This window comes from Homo sapiens, chromosome 20, assembly GCF_000001405.40.
Source record: "Homo sapiens chromosome 20, GRCh38.p14 Primary Assembly".
In the NCBI taxonomy this organism is placed as follows: Eukaryota; Metazoa; Chordata; class Mammalia; order Primates; family Hominidae; genus Homo; species Homo sapiens.
The window spans coordinates 46,659,872-46,683,205 of record NC_000020.11 but is presented as its reverse complement, the minus strand read 5'-3'; the positions used below and the strand labels follow the sequence as shown (position 1 = coordinate 46,683,205).

Sequence of the window (23,334 nt, the reverse complement as noted above, 5' to 3'; positions counted from 1 at the left end):
TCCGCCGAGGACTCTTTTGCCCTGAATATCTGCCTAAATAATTTCTATCTCCGGTATCAGTGGCCAGTAGCAGTGGGGGTAGCCGCAGCTGTCAGGAAGCAGTAATGATCTTTGCAAGTATCAAGAGGGAGAGTGGCAGATATTGGAGACTGGAGAAACGTCACAAATGCCCCCAGGAGGAGAATCGTCCATCTGCACACTTAGCCCTTGGCCCACAGTGGGAAATAAAGGGTTAACAAATGTTCCTAGGTGAACAGTGGATTCCTTTCCTAGTTCCTCTCACAAAGGGCTAAGGAACCCTCTGCACTTTCAGATCCCTTGACGTCCACCGGGGAGCTGCAGGTGCTTTGCAGTGCTGAGCCAACAGCACTAGCAGTTTTGTGTGAATCCCCAGCTAAACCCAACCAGATGAGGATTATAATCTCCATTTTATGGTGGAGGAAACACTGGGCAATAGGAAATATGTCCTAGGGTCACAATAAGTGACAGAGCTGGGATTCAGACCCATGCTTTTAACAACAGCAGCTGACTTTATAGAGTTACGTTCTTTCCATGCATTAACCCATTTTACAGAAGAAGCAAATGAGACACAGAGAAATTAAGTCCTGCCCCAGGCCACTCAGTTAGTAAATGGCAGAACCAGGGAAATGTGATATGACACCGAGATGCGACCAACACTTGACACAGGCCCACATTCCTGGAACATTTAAAAGTGCTTTTGTGGCCAGTCCATGGGGCCAAGAGAGGTAGTTCCAGAGTAGAGTTGCTTTAAAGCTGGCATAGTGAGTGCTCCAAACAAGCTGTGTTCTTATTGTTGGATGAGCTGAGCTGACCACGCCCACACCACGTGCTACCTTAGGGGTTGGGAACATCTACATTAGCGAAGGCATGCAGGGCATAATCTCTGATTTAACTGCAAGAATCCACCATATTCCTGACCCTGGTTCCAATAAAACTTTATTTACAAATCAGACAGTCGGCCCGTGGGCGATAGTTTGCCAATTTGATTTTTAAAACCATCCCATTAAGATATTTTTTGGATTATTGAGTTTTTGGATGCCTCCTTAAATTTGTGCCTCACTTGCTTCACCCTAGTCCTAACCCAGCTGTCACTGACTGCCAGAGCCCTGATGGAGGAGCCCATGTTCTTACAAGGGTCTGCACCTGCTGTGGTTTGAATGTGTTCCCCGTATTTCATGTGTTGGAAACTGAATGCCCAACTTAGCAGTATTGAAAGATGGGGCCTTTAAGAGGTGATTGGATCCTAAGGCCTCTGCCCTCATGAATTGATTAATCCACGTGTGGACTAATAGATTAATGGGTTATTATGAGAGCAGGACTGGTGGCTTTATAAGAGGAAGAGAGACCTGAGCTAGCACACCCAGCCCCCTTGTCACATGATGCCATGTGCCGCCTCAGGTCTCTGTAGAGTCCCCACCTTCAAGAAGGCTGTGCCCCCACCAGATGTGCCCCCTCGACCTTGTATTCCTCCATAACAGTAAGAAATAAACTCCTTTTCTTTATAAATTACCCAGTTTTAAGTATTCTGTTAAAAGCAATAGAAAACAAATGAATGCAGCCTGAACCTCTTGGGGAACTAGGAGTCTTCCCTTGCGTCCTTTAATTCTAGGCACCGCAATTTCAATGGACTGTGCACTTTTCTGCCACCAGGGGTCGTAAGTTACTGTCATTCTTGGTGCGAACAGGTAAACCTCCCTTCACTTTCTCTCTTCTCTTCCTCCTCCCTCCTCCCTCCTTCCCCTCTTTCTTCCTCCCTTTCTTTTCTCCCCTTCTCCTTCCTCTACTTCCATCTTTTCTTCCCAAGTCCATGCCCCTCTCTCCCTCCCTCCTTTCCTTGAACGTGTTCATTTATTCACTCAACGCCACCTTAGCTGAGCACCTAAGTGTAGCAGGCACTGTGCTAATTATGCACCATGTAATGAGGGAGACGGACGTGAGGATGTCTAGTTCCTTCCAGTCTTAATGTTTTCATCCATTCTCTCTTCACTCACTCCTTCACTGGGTACTTAGTGAGCACATGGGCTGCGTCTGGCTCTTCTGAAGAAGCTGCAGGGATGACAAGGTCCAGCCGCGGCCTGGGAGGCCCTTGTCCTGGCCCCTTCCGTTCTTCCTTACTCAGCAGCCCAGGGGACCCTTTTAAAGCCAGAACATGCCACTTCTCTATTCACAAATGTGCTGGCTTCCCAGCCCATGTCTCCTTGTTTACCAGGTGCATGGCCTAGGATCCCCTCCTTGTACCTCTCTGAGCCTCAGTGTCCTCATCTGTAAAATGGACTCACAGTGGTGCTGCATGGTGGAGTTGCTGTGAGTATTGTCACTGGTCAGGATCCCCAGGAAGCAGACTCAGATACAGTTGAGCTGCCCTTGGGATCAACATCCACAGCATGGAGGACACAGGAGATGGCAGAGGACACAGGAGAGGGCAGAGTACACAGGAGCGGGCAGAGGGAGAACTGGAGCTGAGACCCAGCAGCAGCTTCAGTCAATTCTGCGGGAGCTCTGCAGTTGAAATGGCTCTTCAGAGATGTCACAAGATGGCCTGAGATGGCCAGGACTTTGCAGTCTCACATTATGCAGTCGTTGGGGGTGTCACGCCTGGAAGGGACACGAGCTCTGGCAAGGCCACTCTCTGCCTACTGTGAGTTGATCCCTGGAGGAGCTGACCACAGGAGCTGACTGCTGACCACTCTCCCTGCCTCTGGGGCAATAGGTGCTTCCTTAAGGGATCTGGGTCGCACATCCATGTCCACCACAAGCATCCATATAAGGAGGTACGTGGAGCAGTTGGAGCACTACCACAGTGCATGGCACATGGTGACAATGAGCAATATCATTATCGTGATGTCATTTAAGTGGCTACTATTTTTAGAGAACAGCAAACAGGTGATTATAATACAGCTCCATTTGTTCCCCTTATAAGCTAAGGGTAGACAAGACGCACTTTCCCACCTTGCCAGGCTGCCATTCCAAAGCTTCTGAATCAAAGGTCTGAGACTGGCCTGAGAATCTGCATTGCTAACAACTTCCCAGGTGATGCTGAGGCTGCTGTTCTGAAAACTCCTACCTGAAGGAAAATCAAAGTATGTCATCAGAAAAATAGGAAATGGATGCTGAGAGGGCAAGAAACAAAATACCATCTGCCATACCCATTTTACAGATGGGGGAGTAGAGGCTCAGAGGTGCTAAGCAACTTTCCCAGAGTCATCAGCCTGTAAATGGTAGAAATTGTGCCAGGCATTATTGCCTACCAAAAGTCACCCTCTTTTTTTTTTTTTTTGAGACAGAGTCTCACTCTGTCACTCAGGCTGGAGTGTAGTAGTGTGATTTCGGCTCATCACAACCTCCACCTCCCAGGTTCAAGCAATTCTCCCACCTCAGCCTCCCCAGTAGCTGGGATCACAGGTGCCCACCACCACGCCCAGCTAATTTTTGAATTTTTAGTGAAGACGGGGATATCACCATATTGGCCAAGCTGGTCTCAAAGTCCCGCCTCAAATGATCCACCTGCCTTGGCCTCCCAAAATGCTGGGATTACAGGCGTGAGCCCATCCCCCACCCCCTTTTTTTTTTTGAGACGGAGTCTCGCTCTGTCGCCCAGGCTAGAGTGCAGTGGCTTGATCTTGGCTCACTGCAAGCTTCACCTCCTGGGTTCACGCCATTCTCCTGCCTCAGCCTTTCAAGTAGCTGGGACTACAGGCGCCCGCCACCACGCCCGGCGAATTTTTGTATTTTTTAGTAGAGACGGGGTTTCACCGTGTTAGCCAGGATGGTCTCAATTTTTGTATTTGTTAGTAGAGACAGGATTTTGACATGTTGGCCAGGCTAGTCTCGAACTCCTGACCTCAAGTGATCTGCCTGCCTCGGCCTCCCAAAGTGCTGGGATTATAGGCATGAGCCATGGCACCCGGCCTACCCTTCTTATTCCTTTTGGACAGAATCCCAATTAGTCTAGATATTTTTAGGCGAAGATAGCTTCATCTCAGGAAAGGTCAGATCGGTTCCTGATTAGGAATGGGCATGTGTATTAGGCCTTTTGCATTGCTGTAAAGAAACACCTGAGGCTGGGTAATTTATAGGGAAAAGAGGCTTAATTGGCTTACAGTTCTGCAGGCTGTACAAGCATGGCTCCAGCATCTGCTTCTGGTGAGGGCCTCAGGAAGCTTCCGATCATGGTGGAAGGCAAAGGGGGAGCAGGCAGTGTCCCATGGTGAAAGCAGGAACAAGAGAGAGAAGGGGAGGAGCCGGGCTCCTTTAAACAACTGGCTGTCTTGTGAACTAACAGAGCCAGGGCTCACTCAGAGATTACCACAGAGAGGGCACCAAGCCATTCACGAGGGATCTGCCGCCATGATCCAGTACCTCCCACCAGCCCCACCTCCTACACTGGAGGTCACATTTCAACCTGAGATTTGGAGGGGACAAACCTCCAAACCGTGTCAGCATGTGACCCTTTTCTGGCCAATAAGATACAAGAGCAAATCTGGGAAGATTGCTTCTGTGGAAGATTTTGCTTCTCCTAGAAGGTGAGAAGATGTAAGAATTCTCTCCCTGCTCTGACACCAGCACATCCCCATCAACAATGTCTGCTTTTCAATGCAATGGCAATAACCGGAGGTTCAGCAGCAATCTGGAGGCCATGAGGCCACCCCTGATGGTAAAGAGTCAATGAGAGGAAGATGTTGAGGTAGAGGGATGGGCAGAGTGTGAGTCTGTTCTTAGTGACCTCAGACCTCACTTTCTGGACTTATTATATGCACAGGTAAACGTCTCCAAAGCTGAAGCTACCATAAATCAGATTTTCCATCACTTGAAGCCAAAAGCATTCCTAACCAACACAGATAGAGACCCCAGGCCGCCAAAGCCATACTTGTTCATAGCATCTTGCTGCCTTTTACTGTCAGGTTAGAGCCTCTCTATTTAGATCAAAGTGAAGGAGACAGACTAACTCCAGCCCCTTCTTACCAAGGCCTGGGAGGTGAGAACCCGGCACTGAGACCCAGCCTATTCAAGGCCTGGCCAAAGTCTGCCACCAACTCCTTCTGTGAGTTTGGGGAAAATTCTAGACTTCCCTGGGCCTCAGTTTCTCCACCTGTAAAGTGGAAGATTTGATCTAGGTCCAGTGGGTGGCTGTAACTGTAGGCAGTTTTCTTGGGTTCACATAATGTTTGCTTTTTAGTTGCCAATGTTAAACAATTTCATATGCCAATGTTAAACAATTTCAAACATACATATGGATTGTTTCATATGTAAAAATCTAGACATCTGGCTTCTCTGGAAACATCGTCAGGAGATCTTGCCACACGGGACCCTGTTCTAACACCTCTTCTTTTAGAGGGGCCTGTGCTTTCCAATTTGCCCCAGTCTCCACTGCTCCCTATTGCTCTTTGGCTCTGAGTCACTGTTTGTCATCACGCTGGTCCCGTTGTTCTTCTTACAGAGGTAAGAGGAGAGTGAGATATGTCTTACTCCTCTTGTTACTTGTCCCTGAGAGCATTGAATTTGCAACCTTTAGATAAGATGGCATGTATCTTCCCCAGGGCCTCACGGGCATCCCAAAACTCAACAGGTCCCAAAACAAACCCCTGGTTTCACCCATAGTCTCTGCCCCCATCACAAGTTTCCCATCTTAGTAAATGGCAGCCCCAGGAATCCAGAACTTCACCCCAAACCTGGGGGCTCTCTTTGACTCCTGTCTTTCACCAGCTCCCCTCGCCCCCATTCGATCCAGCAAAAGATCCTGCCAGCTTTACTTTCAAAATATAATTAAAAGGTTGGGAGCGTGGCTGCCCTTGGGGGAGGGGCAGTGATTTGGAGGGGGCTTCTGGGGACTTCTAGGGGGATGGACAAGTTCTATTTCTTGAGCTTGATGCTGGTTATGTGGGTGGATTGGGTTTGTAAAACTTCATGAAACTGCAGGCATGTTTATATGTGTACTTTTCAGTATTTATGTTGTACTTCAATAAAAAGCTGTGAGGCCAGGTGGTGGCTTGTGCTTGTAATGCCAGCACTTTGGAATGCCGAGGTGGGCGGATCACCTGAGGTCAGGAGTTCAAGTCCAGTCTGGCCAACATGGCGAAACCCTGTCTCTACTAAAAACACAAAAATTAGCCAGGCATGATGGTGGGCGCCTGTAATCCCAGCTACTTGGGAGGCTGAGACAGGAGAATCGCTTGAACCCAGGAGATGGGGGTTGCAGTGAGCCGAGATCGCCACTGCACTCCAGCCTGGACAGGGTGAGACTCTGTCTCAAAAAAAGAAAAGAAGCTGATGAATTTGGAACTACTCTCCGTTCCCCCTCCTGGCCACCCTGGCGTAGGCCATGTGATCTTTTGCCTGAACCCCTGCAGTTGCCTCTCATGGTTCTCCCCACTTCTGCCGTCGTCCCCACTGTTTCCACGCAGCCCAGGAATTCTATTAAATCTCAGTTCAGATCTGCCAGGCAAGGTGGTGCATGCCTGTAGTCCCAGCGACTGGGGAGGCTGAGGCGGGAAGGATCTCCTGGGCCCAGGAGTTCAAGGCTGCAGTGAGCTGTGATTGCACCACTGCACTCCAGCCTGGATGACACAGTTTAGTTTTAGTTAAAAACAAAATTAAACAAACTAAAGAAAAAGAAAAGAAAAGAAAAAAAGGGGCCGGGCGCAGTGGCTCGTGCCTGTAATCCTAACAATTTGGGAGGCTGAGGTGGGCGGATTGCCTGAGCTCAGGAGTTCGAGACCAGCCTGGGCAACACGGTGAAACCTTGTCTCTACTAAAAAAAAAAAAAAAAAAAAAAAGAGTTGAGAGAGTGGCTGCCCTTGGTGAAGGGGCAGTGATTTGGAGGGGGCTTCTGGGGACTTCTCGGGGGATGGACAAGTTCTATTTCTTGAGCTTGATGCTGGTTATGTGGGTGGATTGGGTTTGTAAAATTTCATGAAACTGCAGGCATGTTTATATGGGTACTTTTCAGTATTTATGTGGTACTTCAATAAAAAGCTGTGAGGCCAGGTGGTGGCTTGTGTCTGTAATGCCAGCACTTTGGAAGGCCGAGGTGGGTAGATCACCTGAGGTCAGGAGTTTAAGACCAGTCTGGCCAACATGGCGAAACCCTGTCTCTACTAAAAACACAAAAATTAGCCGGGCATGATGGCGGGTGCCTGTAATCTCAGCTACTTGGGAGGCTGAGATAGGAGAATCGCTTGAACCCAGGATGTGGAGGTTGCAGTGAGCCGAGATCGCCACTGCACTCCAGCCTGGACAGGGTGAGACTCTGTCTCAAAAAAAGAAAAGAAGCTGATGAATTTGGAACTACTCTCCGTTCCCCCTCCTGACCACCCTGGCGTAGGCCATGTGATCTTTTGCCTGAACCCCTGCAGTTGCCTCTCATGGTTCTCCCCACTTCTGCCGTCGTCCCCACTGTTTCCACACAGCCCAGGAATTCTATTAAATCTCAGTTCAGATCTGCCAGGCAAGGTGGTGCATGCCTGTAGTCCCAGCGACTGGGGAGGCTGAGGCGGGAAGGATCTCCTGGGCCCAGGAGTTCAAGGCTGCAGTGAGCTGTGATTGCACCACTGCACTCCAGCCTGGATGACACAGTTTAGTTTTAGTTAAAAACAAAATTAAACAAACTAAAAAAAAAAAAAGAAAGAAAGAAAAAAAAAGGGGCCGGGCATGGTTGCTCGTGCCTGTAATCCTAACACTTTGGGAGGCTGAGGTGGGCAGATTGCCTGAGCTCAGAAGTTCGAGACCAGCCTGAGCAACACGGTGAAACCTTGTCTCTACTGAAAAAAAAAAAAAAAAAAAGAAAAAAAATTAGCTGGGCGTGGCAGCATGCGCCTGTAGTCCCAGCTACTTGGGAGGCTGAGGCAGGAGAATTGCTTGAACCTGGGAGGCAGAGGTTGCAGTGAGATGAGATTGCGCCACTGCACTCTAGCCTGGGTGACAGAGTGAGACTCCATCTCCTAAAAACAAAAAAGAAAAGAAAAGAAAAAAAGGAAAACCACTCCACTTCCCCCCACCAACCCCAACACTCCCCATTCTGACCCCTCTGCTGTTCCTCTCCCCACTATTCCCCTGGGTCAGCCACACTGGGCTCCTTGCTGTTCTTCCAACATGCCAGCCTTGCGCACATCTCAGGGCCTTCATAGCAGCTGTTCCCTTTCCCTGAAACACTTTTCCCACTGATCGCCACATGGCTGCCTCCCTCATTTCCTTCAGGTCTCTACCAAATGCCACTTTGTCTGGGAAGCCCCCACAGCACCCTCATCCCAGCCCCATCGACTGCCCAGCTTCATTCCTGTCAAGCGCATCATGGCCCCCCACAGCCTCTGTATTCACTTGCTCATTTGTTTGCTGTCTGTGGCCCCCTCTAGAATTGGGGCTCTGGGCAGGGAGCTCTGTTTGGTTCACTGCTCTAGCCCTAATTTCTACCATGGTGCCTGGGATTTAGTAGGTGCTCCTTAGGTATTTTGAATTGAATTGAATTCTCTCTTCCAAACCTAGCCTGCCTGTTGGAAAGAAAATCAAGGATCCATGTGAGCCTTCCTCTGATTCCTTCCACTCCTCCAAACAAACACACACACACACACACACACACACACACACGCGCGCGCGCGCGCGCACTCCCCACCTACCCACTGTCTCCCCTGCTGGAGGCAAAACAGAGTATAGTCCTGGCCTGAGGTTTGGAACAAAAAACAGAACACTGGGGGTCTGCTGCCGATCAAAGGCCTCTCCGTGTTTGTAAACCTTGACTCTCTGCCTGGGATGGAGGAGGCCAGGGGATGGCCCAGAACCCAGGGTTAGTCAACGATCCAGGCCAGGAAGGCCCAGGCCTGCCCCCTTCCCCATAGTGAGGAAAGGCCCCACAAGGCCAAACTGTTTGACTTCCCCCTCCAGGGGAAAGAAGGGGGAACTAATCCCCCCTCCAGTCTGAGGGCTCTCTGCTGGGACCTGCATCAAAGCCAATATTGTTCTTGGAGCTGCAGAGACCTCAAACAAAATGTCACACTGAGAGATGTTGACGGGGTATGGGGGTCAGGGTGCGGAGGTGGAGGGGAGGGGAACCGAAAGTCCCTTCTGTGGAGGGAAGAATGGAATTTGGTGCCAAGATTCCCCTCATACTCTCTCCCACTGCCTACCTTATTTTTCTTCATAGCACTAAGTTCCACGTGACATGCTGTGTATTTCACACATGTATCTTATCACAGAGCTACTAAAATGAAAACTCTGTGAGAGCAAAACTGGTGTCTGATTTGATCACTGTTGTATCCCCAGCACCCAGAATGATGCCTGGTATACAATAGGTGCTCAATTAATCCTTGCTGAATGAACAATAGTCATGATTTTGACTGATATTCCTAACAGTAAGACCCAATGATGTAGAGCGTGTTTCATCCTTCAATATTTATTGCTCCTCTCCATGTTCCAGGCACTGGGAGTGTGGCAGGGGGCAATTGGGACTCCCTTGTTCCCCTGGAGTTTAACCTAGTGGTAAACACTTTCAGACGACGAATCATGCTATTTGGGGATTTTGTACAGGGTGAGTGACGTGAACTTGAGGAAGGCTGCGTTTCCTTAGATCAGGAGGTCGGGGGTGGGGACCCTCTGAGGAGGTGACATTTGAGCTGAGGACTGAGTGAGTAGAAGGAACCAGTCATGGTGATGGTGGCGGGAGCTTGGGGAGGGTGCACAGGGAGATCCAGGCAGACTGAGCATTTGTAAAAGCAGAGAACTTGCTATGCTCAAGGAGCAGAAAGAAGGCTGCAAAGAGGACAGCCCCCAGCAATGGAAGGGAATGGGGGAAGGGTTGAAGGACCAGGCAGGACCTGATCGTTCATGTAAATGCCTAGCACTGTGCTTGGCACACAGCAAGCCTCCATAACTGGGCTGATGACCATAGTTAATATATTTATTCATACCTCACATAGCGTGTTATTTCCCAATTAGAAATCATACTTCCCTGTAATTAGGGGTTGATAGGTACCTGGTCCTGTGCTAAACGAATAAATGGGAACAGCCCTTAGAACAGCACCTGGCTTTTCATTCTCTGAGACTTATCATAAACCTATGATGTAGTTGTTTTTATTATCTACATTTTCCACAAGGCCATGGAGGCTCAGAGGGGTGATATGAGCCCACCAGGTGCACAGTTTCAGTGTTAAACATCTGCTGCTTGACAAACTATCCCCCAAACTTAAACAATAATCATGCAATAATACATCATGATTTTGTGGGGCAAGAATTAGAGTGGGGCTCAGCTGGGTGATTCTTCTGTTCTCCGTGGCATCGAGGAATGCACTCAGGGTCACTCAGCCATTCAGATGAACTCATCTGGGGGGCCTAAGACAGCTTCATTCATGTGTCTTGTGCCTTGATAGGGCTGGCTGGAAGTCTGGGCTCAGCTGTCAACCAGAGCAGATACTCATGGCCTCTCCAGCATGACAGCCTCAGGGCAGTAGTCCAGGTCTCCAAGGACAAGTGTTCTAGAAATCAGGCAGAAGCTGTGTGGCCTTATTCATGCCCTGGAAGCCGTATCGGGTCACTTCCACGGTAAGCTGTTGGTCAAAGCAGTCAGAAGCTCACCTAGGTTCATCAGGAGGGGGAATAGGCCCTGCCTCCCAGTGGAAAGGGTGTCACAGGATTTGTGGCTATGTTTTATAACCACATATGGACTGGCATTTGAACTGCCTACCCCACTAGATGGGAAGCCGCATGAAGGAGGGATGCTGCCTGCCTCATTTCATGTCAGATCCCCAGTGTTCAGCACAGTGCCTGGCACAGGTTTGAATTCAGTAAATGTTTGCTGAATGAATAAATGAATAGATGATTCCAAAATCCATACTCCTGTTGCCATGGGCTCAGCAGAGCTTGGGTATGAATGACTACTGCTCGGTGCAGCACCAGGAACCCCAGGAATGCTGATAGCCCAGCCTTCTGGTGAGGGTTACCAAATGTTGGGATTTGCACATCAATTCAATTCAACCCATCTCATATTTATTTCCCACTCATGTGCCAGGCAGTAGAGAGGCAGCTGTGTCTGAGCAGGCATGGCCTCTGCCTATGGGAAGCTCAAAGCCACGCTTTCCTTCTCTTCACATGAGTTGGCTTGAAGTCTGGTGGAAGGACCCCTGGACTGGGAACTGGCCATAATTCAGACCCTGACTCTCTGGATGGTATTGGAACAGACACTGTGACCCTCTGTTTGTTGACCTGTTTAGTGGGACAGGTGTATCAGATTGGATGACTATGAAAAAGCCCCTCTAGCTAGTGGGAGTCATAGACATGTGCAGCTCAGATTCCCCTTCAAACTGGGACTTGCTGCCCAGCCATTATTAGCTCTTTTGGGGACTGCCTCAGTTTTCAAGTAGAAGTAATGCTCTTCTCAGGGAGGCCCTCAGCTCAGAGACTGGTTGAGTCAGATGCCGGTACAAGTATCTACCCACCTGGTGCAAGACTCCTCCAATGGGTGAGCTTTGCTCTGGGCTCTCCATTGTGCTGGCAGAGACTTTGTCTTGCCTGAATGCTGCCTGGTGGCTCCCTCTGCCCAATCCTGCTTCTCCCTGTTCCTTTTCCTTTTCACAGGTGTTATTCCCAATAAATCTTATGCATTCCTAACCCCCTGTTTCCTAGAGAACCCACACTGTGATTTGGTTCTACATATGAACTCTGTCTTATTTATCTTTTTTTTTTAATGAGGATTACAGACATATACTCTAACATTCAAAGGGTTGAAAAACACTGTGTTGTAGGCTGGGTTTTCAAGGACTTGGAGACGAGTGTGCAGGAAATTTATTAGGACATGCCTTTGGGATCCACCCCCATGGAAGGGAAGGGAAGGAAACAAATATAGGGTGAAGGGAGATGTTGAGCAGAAATGCAACCTTCACAGAGGACTTGACCAATTGCATGAGTGCTCTGAAGGGGGATGGCCCCTCAAAGTTGTCCCAAATTGGGGTGAGGAGGCTGGGAACTTGTATTCCCGCTTCAGTCACTAACTGGATGTCAGCCACTCTGGGAAGGAAACATGACCTTGGCTAAAGTGGCACTGTTTGCTGAGGCAATTATCAAATGGGCTCATAGCCAAGGATTGACTACTGGAAGCATTCCAAGCAGATAAAGATTTTTGTTCCTAAAGGGGCACTGGGCAGTGCATTCCAACATTCATAGCAGAGTATGATGTGCAAATAAGTCTTCCGCTTGCTCATGTCCCCAACATAACTTTAGTCACACATAACTGAAAACATAGACACATAAGGCTCAACATATTAGGTTTTCTGCTGCCTTGTAAATAAAGTACAGAGGTGGTTCCATGAATTCATGAAGGATCCCAACTCCCATCTTTCTGCTTTTCCATCCTTAGTGTGTACCTTTCATTTTCAAGGTTGGTTCATGTTGGTTTCTGTATTAAATCACCTCACAAGTTGCAACAACATTATTTTGTTATTTCTCATAATTCCATGATTGACTGGGCTCAGTTGGGTGGTTCTTCTGCTCCACATGGTGCAGCTGAGATCACTTAGGGGGCTGCATTTAGTGGGAGCTCTGCTGGGGCTGAGACATCCAAAATAGCTTCCTGTCTTTCAGGGCCCCTCTCTATGGAGTCTTTCATCATTTAGTAGTCTAGTCCATGCTTCTTTATGGTGTGACATTGGCTGCCAAGAGGGAGTGTTTAAAGAAGACAAGCCCTAATGTGCAAGTGGTTATTAAGTCTTTGTTTGCATCACATTTGCTGATGTCCCATTGGCCAAAGCAAGTTACATGGCCAAGCCCAGAGTCAGTGTGGGAGGGGACTACACAAGGGTGTGAATACCAGGAGGCATGGGTCTGTGGAGGCCACCAATACATCCCTTACACTTCCTGATCAACGATGGCTGCTGGAGCTCAAGCCATGAGTCAGGAAGGAAAAAGGGAGAGGAAAGAAAAAAGGGTATGCTCCTTTAAAGACACGGTCCTAAATGTCCCACATAACAACTTCTACTCACTTCCCATTGGCCAGATCTTAATCCTATAGATACACCAACTGTAGGGAAGCCTGAGAATTGTTTTTAAAGCTGCTCATGTATTCCAGGGAAGTGGCACTAAGGTCCAAAGGAAGCTACATATGGGTGGTCCCTGCTACACCAGCCTCCCAAGCCTCCCAGTGCACCTTCTAGGAGACAAGCAAGGTAATCAATTTTTTATTTATCCTTCTGCATTGTTAAGTATGCATGTATTTTTTTTCTTTCTTTACACACTGGCCAGCATGAAGTTTTATATGGATTTCTATACAGATACTTCTTAACTTACGATGATGTTACCCCTCAATAAACCCATTGTAAGTTGAAAATATCCTAAGTTAAAAGGCACTTAATACTCTCAATAAATCCATTGTAAAGTTGAAAAATTCTAAGTCTAACCATCAAAAATCAGGAAATGTCTGTATAATGGTCTTAGCACAGTGCTTGGACAACAATTTTATAAATTGTAGGCATTGCCCCTCAAAAATGGTATTTATTATTTATACAAATAGTAGTACAATAAAATTATGAGTACCTTGAGTCACATTCTCTAATTTGCCTTGGGTGCCAGTGGTCAGACCCACCCAGCTCATGTGGTCTCTTGCCAATAGCTCCCATCAACCTGAGGTTTTTCTAACTTTGCCCTAAGGTGAGCATGATGGCAGGCTTGGGAACAGTCTAGTTGAGGGTTAGCAACACAGACTTTGGAGTCAGAAGACACATCTCTGAGTTTTAGTCTCTTCCTCTGTAATGAAGGTAATCACACCCATCTGGAAGGGTGGTTGTAAAAATAAAATGAGAAAAGCTGAGGAAGCACTTAGCATAGTGTGTGGGGCATAGTAAGTGCTCAGTCAATGGTATGGGATGCCTTGATGAAAGGACTCGACCTGTCTCTCTGACAGTCTTTAAAAGAAGTTAAGCAGGGCGGGGGGTCCACGAGGGGGGTGGAACACAAGATTTCTCCTTTAGCTGAAGTGTGTCTCTGGATTTCAGGTCATGTGTTATATTCCTTCACTCAACACATATAATAACTTCTTGATCTTCTGATGACTCCAACAAGAAAAAGAGTTCAGTATTTGTGTGGGGATATGGGAGTAGCAGTGTGTATCATTGGGATTTCAGCTCTATTTCAGCTGTGTGACCTGGGACAAATGTCTTAATCCCTCTGAGTCTCAGTTTCCTTATCTGTCCAATGAACATACCTAGTAAGGAATGAAAATTAATGTTGGTCAAGCCATCCATTGACTGTGGAAGTTCTTTAAGAATTCCCTTCCACAGTCTACTGAACAGTATATCTCAACAATAGGCTTAAAATATTCAGTAAAACATGCTGTAAACAGATGTACTGTCATCTAGACTTTGTTGCTCCATTTATAGCGCATAAGCAGCTTAGATTTAGCATAATTCTTGTGGGCCTTCAGATTTTCAGAATGGCAAATGAGCAGAACTTCAACTTAGAGTTACCAGCTGCATTATGCCCTAACCAGAGGTCAACTTGATGGCATCTTCTTCCAAAAGAAGAGTATTTCATCTATGTTGAAAATCTGTTGTTCAGTGTAGTCATCTTCATCAATGACCTTAGCTTGATCTTCTGGTTAACTTGGTGTAGCTTCTACATCATCACTTGCTGTTTCACTTGCACTTTTATGTTATGCAGATGGCTTCTTTCCTTAAACTCATGAACTCAGCTAACTTCAAACTTTTCTTCTGCAGCTTCCTCACCTCTCTCAGTCTTCACAGAATTAATGAGAGTTAGGGTCTTGCTCTGGATTAGGCTTTGGCTTGGGAATGTTGTGGCTGGTTTGATCTTCTATGTTAGACTACTAAAACTTTCTCCCTATCAGGAATAAGGCTGTTTTGCTTTCTTATCATCCATGTGTTCATTGGAGTAGCACTTTTAATTTCCTTCCAGAACTTTTCCTTTACACTCACAAGTTGGCTAACTGTTTGGCACAAGAGGCCTAGTTTTTGGCCTGTGTTGGCTTTCGACGTGCCTTCCTCACTAAGTGTAACCATTTCTAGCTTTTGATTTTAAAGTGAGAGATGTATGACTCTTTCTTTCACTTGAATACTTTGAGGCCATTGAAGGATTATTAGTTGGACTAATTTCAATAGTATTGTATCTCAGGGAATAGGGAGGCCTGAGGAGAGGGAGAGAGATTGGGGAATAGCCAGTCAGTGGAGCAATCAGAATACACACAATATTTATCCACTAAATTTGCCGTCTTATATGGGCACAGTTCATGGCACCTCAAAACAATTACAATAGTAACTTCAAAGATCACTGATCACAGATCAGCATAACAGATATAATCATAAAAAAAGTTTGAAATTGTGCAAGATTACCAAAATGTGACCTAGAAACATGAAGTGAGCACATGCTGTTGGAAAAATGATGCCAAGAGAATTGCTCACTGTAGGGTTGTCACAAAAATGCAATATCTGTAAAACACAATGAGACAAGATATGCCTGTACACATTATAGTTCTCGTTTCAGATGAGGAAACTCAGTTTGAGTGAAACCTCCTGCCCAGCAACGAGCAAGTGGCCCAGCCAGAATTTGAATGTAGCTTTGTCTAATGCATGGGTGATAGACTCACACAAGTAATGCATGGATTTTATAAGGATGGAATGAGTTAAGACAGGTAAAGTACTGAAAACGGAGCCTGGCAAATAGTAAGGTGTGGTATATGGGCTTGCTAATATTAATATTGTTATGATGATGGCTACATTTGGGCCACCAGATTGAAACCTCTGCTCTAATGCTAAATATTGTACTCTTAATCTCTTAGCTGGTTCTGGAACAGGGAATCCAACCCAGGCCCACCGGTAAAATATGCCCTGGTCCCAGCTGCCTCCACTCAGACTTTGGGGCATGGACCAGAGTTCCTTTGATGTCAATGAATCCAATTCTCTAGAAATACCTTTTCCAGTTTGGAGTACCCCATCCTCCCATGCCCAGACCTTGAAGGTCCAAAGTGCTCCCTGGAGGGCCTTTGTCCCTCCATACACTGTTGTCTGGAGCCTTTGATGAAGCCGGTTATTGGGCTGGCTCAGGATCAAGTCCCAACCTGAAAGGTCATGGGAGACAGTTTCATCATAGCTTGGAATGGGTCCGTTGGGAAATAACTTGCCCTCGGTGTTTATAGGAACAGCATCAGCATGATCTGGATAGGAAGTGAGTGCCACACCCCTTCCTGGGTCTTTCTCTTGCTATCTCGTAGTCTCCCAAATTTCAGATTTTGGCCTCAAATTTTTGGAATTTTGCCATTGTCACGTACTCCCTGCACTCCAAGTTACTTGGCATTTTTCTTTGAGTTGCTTTACATTGTAAACTTAAATAGATATAAGTTAAACAGAGAGCTTTCTAAAAAAGTCATAGGCTTTAATAAAAAAATGAAAATCACAGCCAGGTGTGATGGCTCATGCCTGTAATCCCAACGCTTTGAGAGGCCGAGGCAGGAGGGTCGCTTGAGCCCAGGAGTTCGAGACCAGCCTGGGCAACATAGCAAGACTCTATCTCTACAAAAAATTTAAAAATTAGCCAGGCATGGTGGTGTGCGCCTGTAGTTACAGCTACTCAGGATGCTGAAGTGGGAGGATTGCTTAAGCCAGGGAAGTCAAGGCTGCAGTGAGCCGTGATCACACGACTGCACTCCAGCCTGGGTAACAGAGTGAGACCCTGTCTCAAAGCAACAACAACAACAACAACAACAACAACAACAACAACAACAACAAAGCAACAAAACCAAAACCAAAACAAAAAATCACTCTCTTTCAGTCAAAAGTAGTTATAAGAATAAATAAAATAAAAATAAAACAATATTGCCTGGCTCAGCAAGAGCCCAATGTTTCTGACTCCAAACCCTTTTCTGTCTGTTACAAAGGAAGATTTATAGGTGATGAGGTCTTAAAGGGATACTGACACCCAACTGAGACTCTCTCCACGGTATAATGAGGAGTTGAAGAAAAGTGACACAGGATAACTTTCACTTTCTGTGACTCAATGTTATTTAAATGCCTGACATAAAATTATCTGTGTTTCCTCACTAGTATTCCTCTCACACTTTGAGAAATATTCCACCATCTCACATTTGATCCCAGTACCAGTTCCTCTCTCTCATAGCCTCATCAGAGTTTCAGCAAGACCTACCAGCTCTGCTGGCAAAGTATATCCAGAATTGAATCCTTTCCTACCACCTCTGCTGTTACTACTCTGGTCCAAGCCACCATTGTCTTAGCCTGAGTTATCTTTGAAATAAAAAGCACACGCAGTAGGATGGCTATCATAAAAAAGGTAAATAATAGCAAGTGCTGGGAAGATGTAGAGAAACTGGAACCCGCATACACTGCTGGTGGGATTGTGAAATAGTGCAGACACCTTGGAAAACAGTTGGGCAGTTCCTCAAAAGGTTAGACATAGAGTTACCATATGACCCAGAAATTCCACTCCTAGGTATGTACCTAAGAGAAATATAAACATGTCCAAAAACTTGTACACTAAAGGTCAAGGCAGCATTATTCATAATAGCCAGAAAGTTCAAACGGTCCAAATGTGTATTAACTGATGATTGAATAATAAAGTAGGATACACCCATACAATGAAATATTATTCAGCAATAAAAAGAAATGTAGTACCAATGCGTGCTGTGACAGAGATGAATCTTGAAAGCATTATGTTAAGTCAGAGAAGCCAGACACAAAAGGACCACATATTATATGATTCCATTTATATGAAATGTCCAGAGTAGGCAAATCTATACAGACAGAAAGTATCTTAGTAGTTGCCTGGGACTGGGGAGGTTGTGGGGAGATAGGGAGTGACTGTTAGTGGGCATGAGATTTCCCTTTGGGGTGATGAAAATGTGTTAAATTGATTGTAGTGATGGTTGCATTGTGAGTGTCCTGAAAAATCATTACATTACACATACTTTTTTTTTTTTTTGAGACAGTGTCTCATTCTATTGCCCAGGCTGGAGTGCAGTGATGCAAACACCACTCTCTGAAGCCTTGACATCCTGGGCTCAAGTGATCCTCCTGTCTTAGCCTACCAAGTAGCTGGGACTACAGGCACACACCACCATGCTTGGCTAATTGACATATTCACTTTTAAACAGGTGAATTATATGCTATATGAACTATATCTCAGTAACACTGACTTAAAAAAAAAATGAAAGCAGAATATGCCACTCTGCTTAAATCTCTACAATGGCTGCCCTTGTCACTGAGTGTGAAAATCCCTACTTGGGCTTTCAGGATCCTACTTTGAGTCCTTGCTGGCTGGCTGTGACCTTGTCTCTGCACTCCAGTTCCTTGATGATGCTAAGACCTGTCATGTTGCCTGCTGCCTCAAAGCCATTGCGTTTGACTTCTCTTTCTTCCTGGAATGCTTCCTTTGTATACCCAGAAGTTCATGTGTTCACTTTCTTTAGGTCTTGGTTTAACTTAGGGTCCTCTTCATGGACAGCTTCCCTGACCACCTTATCTACAACAGCACCTCCAAAGCACCACTCTCAACTTCCCTTTGCTGCTTCCTTGTGTTTTCTTCCCAGATTTGTCATATTTTCATCTTTTGATTATAATACATTTTACTCATTTATTTATTATTTGCACCTGCCATCATTTAAGTTCCATGAGGTCAGGGATTTTAATTTTTTAGTCTTATTCATTAGTGTATATACAGCCTGGTATATGGTTGCCATATAGCAAATATTGAGTAAAACACATGGTGAAAGGTATGTCTGATTAATCCCAAGTTTGCTAATGAGCAAAACCAAGTCTGGTAGGTATTCAAATATTATTAATAGTTAAGTAAACATTGACAAGGCATCTAACATAGACCAATGCCCAGGCCCCAAAGCTGTTGGGTGTCAAGATTCTGTACTAACTCAGGAGGGTCGCTTCAGCCTTTAGACGTGATGTGATAAAAAGCCAGTTCACATTTCCCAGGTTTCACCAGAATCTGGCAAAGGATGAATTAGATTTTTAGGGACAGTGGTTCTCAATCCAAGCTACCCTTTAGAATCTGCTTGGAGCTTAAAAAAAATCCTGATGCCCAAGCCACACCCTAGACAATGAAATCAGACTCTGAGGATGGAGCATCAGCACTTTTAATGCTCCTCAGGTGATTCCAATGTGCAGCCGGGGTTGAGAACCACATGCTAGAAGTTTAAAGAAGTGCATGTAGCACCCTTGTTATCTGAGGGGAATGAGTGTTGGGAAACAGCCTCTTGAGTGAATACACTCACATTGTCGACAACTCCTTTAATATTACTACTTTCAGGGATTTGGTGCATGAAGGATACTCACTGCTACTTTGTTCAATGCTCAGTATTAAAGTCATATTGCCCAGATCTAATAAACACCTATACTAGAGTTATTACAGTGTAGTGGTTGGTTACGCATGTGGACTCTGCAGTGAAATTGCTTGGGTTTGAATCCCCACTCAGTAGCTGTGTGTCCTTGGATAAGTTACTCAATTTCCCTGTACCTCAGTTTCCTCCTCTGCAAAATGGGAATATAATAGAACCTATTTCATAGGGTTATTTAAATGTTCAATGAATTAAATCATGTAAAGCTCTTAGAATAGGACCTGAACTGGAGTAAACACGTAGTGAGTGTGGCCATTATTATTCACGAATAAATAAGCTGGAAAGCCAACATTCCTTGCATTTGACATAGATCACAAACTTGATTAAATTCCCTTGAACAATATAAACTGCAATTACAAATCTTGGTAAAGCCCCCCAACTTTTTTTTTTTTTTTGAAACAGGGTCTCGATCTGTCACCCAGGCTGGAGTGTAGTGGCACAATTATAGCTCATTGTACCCTTCGCCTCCTGGGCTTAATCAATCCTCCCACTTCAGCCTCTCGAGTAGCTGAGACTACAGGCGTGCACCACCATGGCCTGCTAATTTTGTAATTTTTTTGTAGAGACAGGGTCTCACTATGTTGCCCAGGCTGATCTCAAACTCCTGAGCTCAAACGGTCCTCCTGCCTCAGTCTCCCAGAGTGCTGAAATTACAGGTGTGAGCCACTGCACCCAGCTAGGGTGATTCTTTTTTATTTTATTTTATTTATTTTAAAACAGCGATGATATCTCACTATGTTGCCCAGGCTGATATCAAACTTCTGGTCTCAAGCAATCCTACCTCGGCCTCCCAAAGTGCTGGGATTACAGGTGTGACACACCATGCCCAGCCCCCAAGCAGATTATTTCAAATGGTTCAAGCATATTAAACAGCAGACCAAATATACACAAATTCATTGCTGATAAGACTTATAAATTCATATCTTCACACCAAGGTCAGTTACAAAAGTGCTGAACTCATATAATTTACTTTGTTTCTTATTTATATTTTCAGAACTTTGCAAGGTTCTAATTTTTACCCCTTCCTAGATACAACAACAAAGAAAAAATTCTTCATGAGCATTTGGTAATCTCACCCAATTCAAAAGCAAAAGAGTGCTGTCTCAAACATGCCATGCCTATAGGAGCTGAGTTACCAACTGGCTGACTTCTCATCAGAACATTTTGGATCTTGTTGTATATTTCAAGATGATTCAGGTTCATCTTGAATGATCCAGAGTGTTTGAGCAGTGTGCTTAGTTCCTTTTTGTAATATAACCTTTCCCTGCTATAGCAGGTGCTTACTTCCTTTTTGTAATATCGTTTTCGTCTGCTATATCGGGTACCCATAAGTCTCTGTATTCTACTTGGAGTTTAATCTTGAAAGACTTGAGTTTTTCCCCCAAATGAAATATTCTTTGACTTTCACATGGTAGGCAGGAATGACCCAATGGTCCTGGTATTTTGATAGACTACAACAATGTCTGATGGCATTATTAGAAACATGTTTTTGTTATTATTTTTTTGGAAAGAGTTCCACTTCTGGTTCTAGTATAGGAAATGATAAGAGACTGTTGCTCCCACTCTAACACCACCCCATCAAAATAGGCTTTATTAGCTATAAAATCATAGTTTTAAAAACTTCATGGAAAGCTGAGGACACAAAGAAACCTAAAGGAGCTAACCTCCAGGAGGAAATGCCAAGATCATAATGGGGGAGAAGAGACTCATAGCTGCTCCAAATCCTAACACAACTGCTGGAGAAAGAGGAGACTGCCATGGATGGGCAGGAAGAAACCAGCTAAATTTTCAATAACATGAGAGCTTCTGTGTAGCTTATAATGGAGATAAACTCTACTCACTGAATAGGTCTGAATCTGCCCACCAAGTCTTACCATGGGATTTATCAAGTGCGGGATATTACACCAAAACAGGTGATAAAAGGAGGGATAAGAAGGATTCCCCTGAAAGCAAGGGGCCTCTCTTAAGTATAAGACACTCTCAAAAGTAGGCACAGGGGAACAGGTCAGGAGAACAGACAGAAAACCTGAGGTAGAAGAATTGAGAGATTCCCTCCCCTCCCAGGCATGCCTGGCTTTTGACTATCAGAAGCTTATAGTGAAAAGACACCCCTACCAGTCATTCCAGACCTTCAAAATGTGTAGAACCATAGCCCTCCAAAGGCCAGATGAACAACAACTAGGCTGAAAAAATCCTCCCAGGTGCAGGAAATGGGGGGCAGGATTTGAGAACAAAGAGAACTCACCAATGACCAAAAAGCCCCATGGCAACTTGGCTCTACACAAGAGAGAGAACTCCCAACATTCCCAAACTGGGTAACTCTTCTGGGAAGCAAAGGCAGATTCCTAAAATCTCACCAGTGCTCCGGTCTCAGATCTGCTGAAGGAAAAGTTCTAAATCTACCCTCAAAACATTTGGAGCCAGTGATGAACTGAAACAATCTAAAACTGCACCAAAGCTGAAATCCAGTTCAACCACAGGTAAGACTGGTTAACTCCATACTACGGGTAAAACCGATTAACTCCATACTGCAGGTAAGACTGGTTAATTCCATACTCTATCGGTTTTACAGGAAAAGGGGAGTACCCCCTTCTGGAGGTAAATATTATTTACTTCATTCTCTACTGTTCTTTCTTACAAAAATGTCAACAATGCGTTCAAAGATTAGCAACCACACAGACAATAATAAAATGTGACAGTCATTAAAGAAAAGTATTAATAGAAGCAGATTCAGATTTGGCCTAGATTCTGGAATTCCCAGAGACTTAAAAAATCTACAACAAAATTCTAAAAATGAAAGAATCTAAAGAACAACATGCATAAACAAATGGAAAACTTCAGCAGAGACCTGGAAACTATTAAAAGAACTAGTGAAAATTATAGAGATGAAAAATACTACATCAGAAATGAAGACTTAGATCTATAAGAGACTGGGCACAACAAAGACAGGAATCACTAAAGACAGGTAATAGAAAATGCCTGTTTGAAACACGTAGAGAAGGAAAAGTGAAAAAAATAAAGAACAAAGAGTCTGAAATTTGTAAGATGATACCAAATGCTCTAACATAAATGTTACTGGAATTCTAGAAGGAAAGGAGAGAGAGAATGGGGCAAAAGAGGTATTTGAAGAGATAATGACGGGAAATATACCAAAATTGATGAAAGACATCAATGCACAGATCCAAGCAGCTCAGCAAACTCCGAGTAAATAAATATAAGGGAAACACTACACCTAAACGTTTCAGTCAAACTGCTGAAAAGTGAAAGATAAAGAGATCTTACAAGTAGCCAGAATAAAAATGGGGCATTACTTACAGGGGAACAATGATATGAATGGTGGCTAATTTCTTACCAGACATTACTTACAGGGGATCAATGATATGAATGGTGGCTAATCTCTTACCAGAAACAATAGAAACTTGAACACAATGGAATGAGATCTTTAAGTACTAAAGGAAAAAAAATTGTCAATCTAGACTTCTATATCTGGTGAAAGTAACTTCAAAAACAAAAGCAAAAATAAAGATACTTTCAGATAAACAGAAGCTGAGAGAATTTCCTTTCAACAAGCCAGCACTATAAGAAATGGTAAAAGAAATGCTAGCACCTGAAAGAGAAATGATCCTGGATCTGCAGGAAGAAGTGAAGAGATAGGGTAAATATTTGGGAAAATATGAAATACTTTTTAAAGTACATTTATCTTTTATTTATATAATTTATACATGTCTTTTAAAGACTATTGATTGTTTATAAAATTAAAACAATATGTTGTGTAATTCAAACAGTGGTGTTCTGGTAAATGTTTAACAATTGGCTGCTGGAAGAAAAGCCCTTATTTATAGAATTTTATTAATTTCATGGTGTAAATATTCTTGCTATGGGTGATTTCATGCTACCATCAGTTCTACAGCTGGCTCACAAATTTTCTGAAAGAGTAACAGTCATTTCTCATAAGCTAGCATGAGTTA

The 23,334-nt window shown here is 44.8% G+C and overlaps 1 protein-coding gene across 2 annotated transcripts in view, besides 2 other annotated features; it reads left to right on the top strand.

Moving 5' to 3' along the window:
• The window catches only part of SLC13A3 (solute carrier family 13 member 3), a 126,658-nt gene that overhangs the window by 1,280 nt on the left and 102,044 nt on the right, over positions 1 to 23,334 (top strand). For both annotated transcript variants that reach the window (NM_001193340.2, NM_001011554.3), the window contains exon 2: positions 13,067 to 13,163. The gene's annotated coding sequence lies outside the window, so the exon portion shown is untranslated. The remainder of the gene's footprint in view (positions 1 to 13,066; positions 13,164 to 23,334) is intronic.
• Positions 8,162 to 8,676: an enhancer, noted in NCBI's record as "H3K4me1 hESC enhancer chr20:45303169-45303683 (GRCh37/hg19 assembly coordinates)". NCBI's record gives its function as "activates a minimal SCP1, AML or CMV promoter by ChIP-STARR-seq in primed H9 embryonic stem cells {active_cell/tissue: H9 hESC(primed)}" and the evidence as "EXISTENCE:reporter gene assay evidence [ECO:0000049][PMID:30033119]".
• Positions 9,589 to 9,745: a silencer, noted in NCBI's record as "fragment chr20:45302100-45302256 (GRCh37/hg19 assembly coordinates)". NCBI's record gives its function as "represses an EF-1alpha promoter that drives an FKBP-Casp9 reporter gene in an ReSE screen in phorbol 12-myristate 13-acetate-treated (for megakaryocytic differentiation) K562 erythroleukemia cells {active_cell/tissue: K562(+PMA)}" and the evidence as "EXISTENCE:reporter gene assay evidence [ECO:0000049][PMID:32094911]".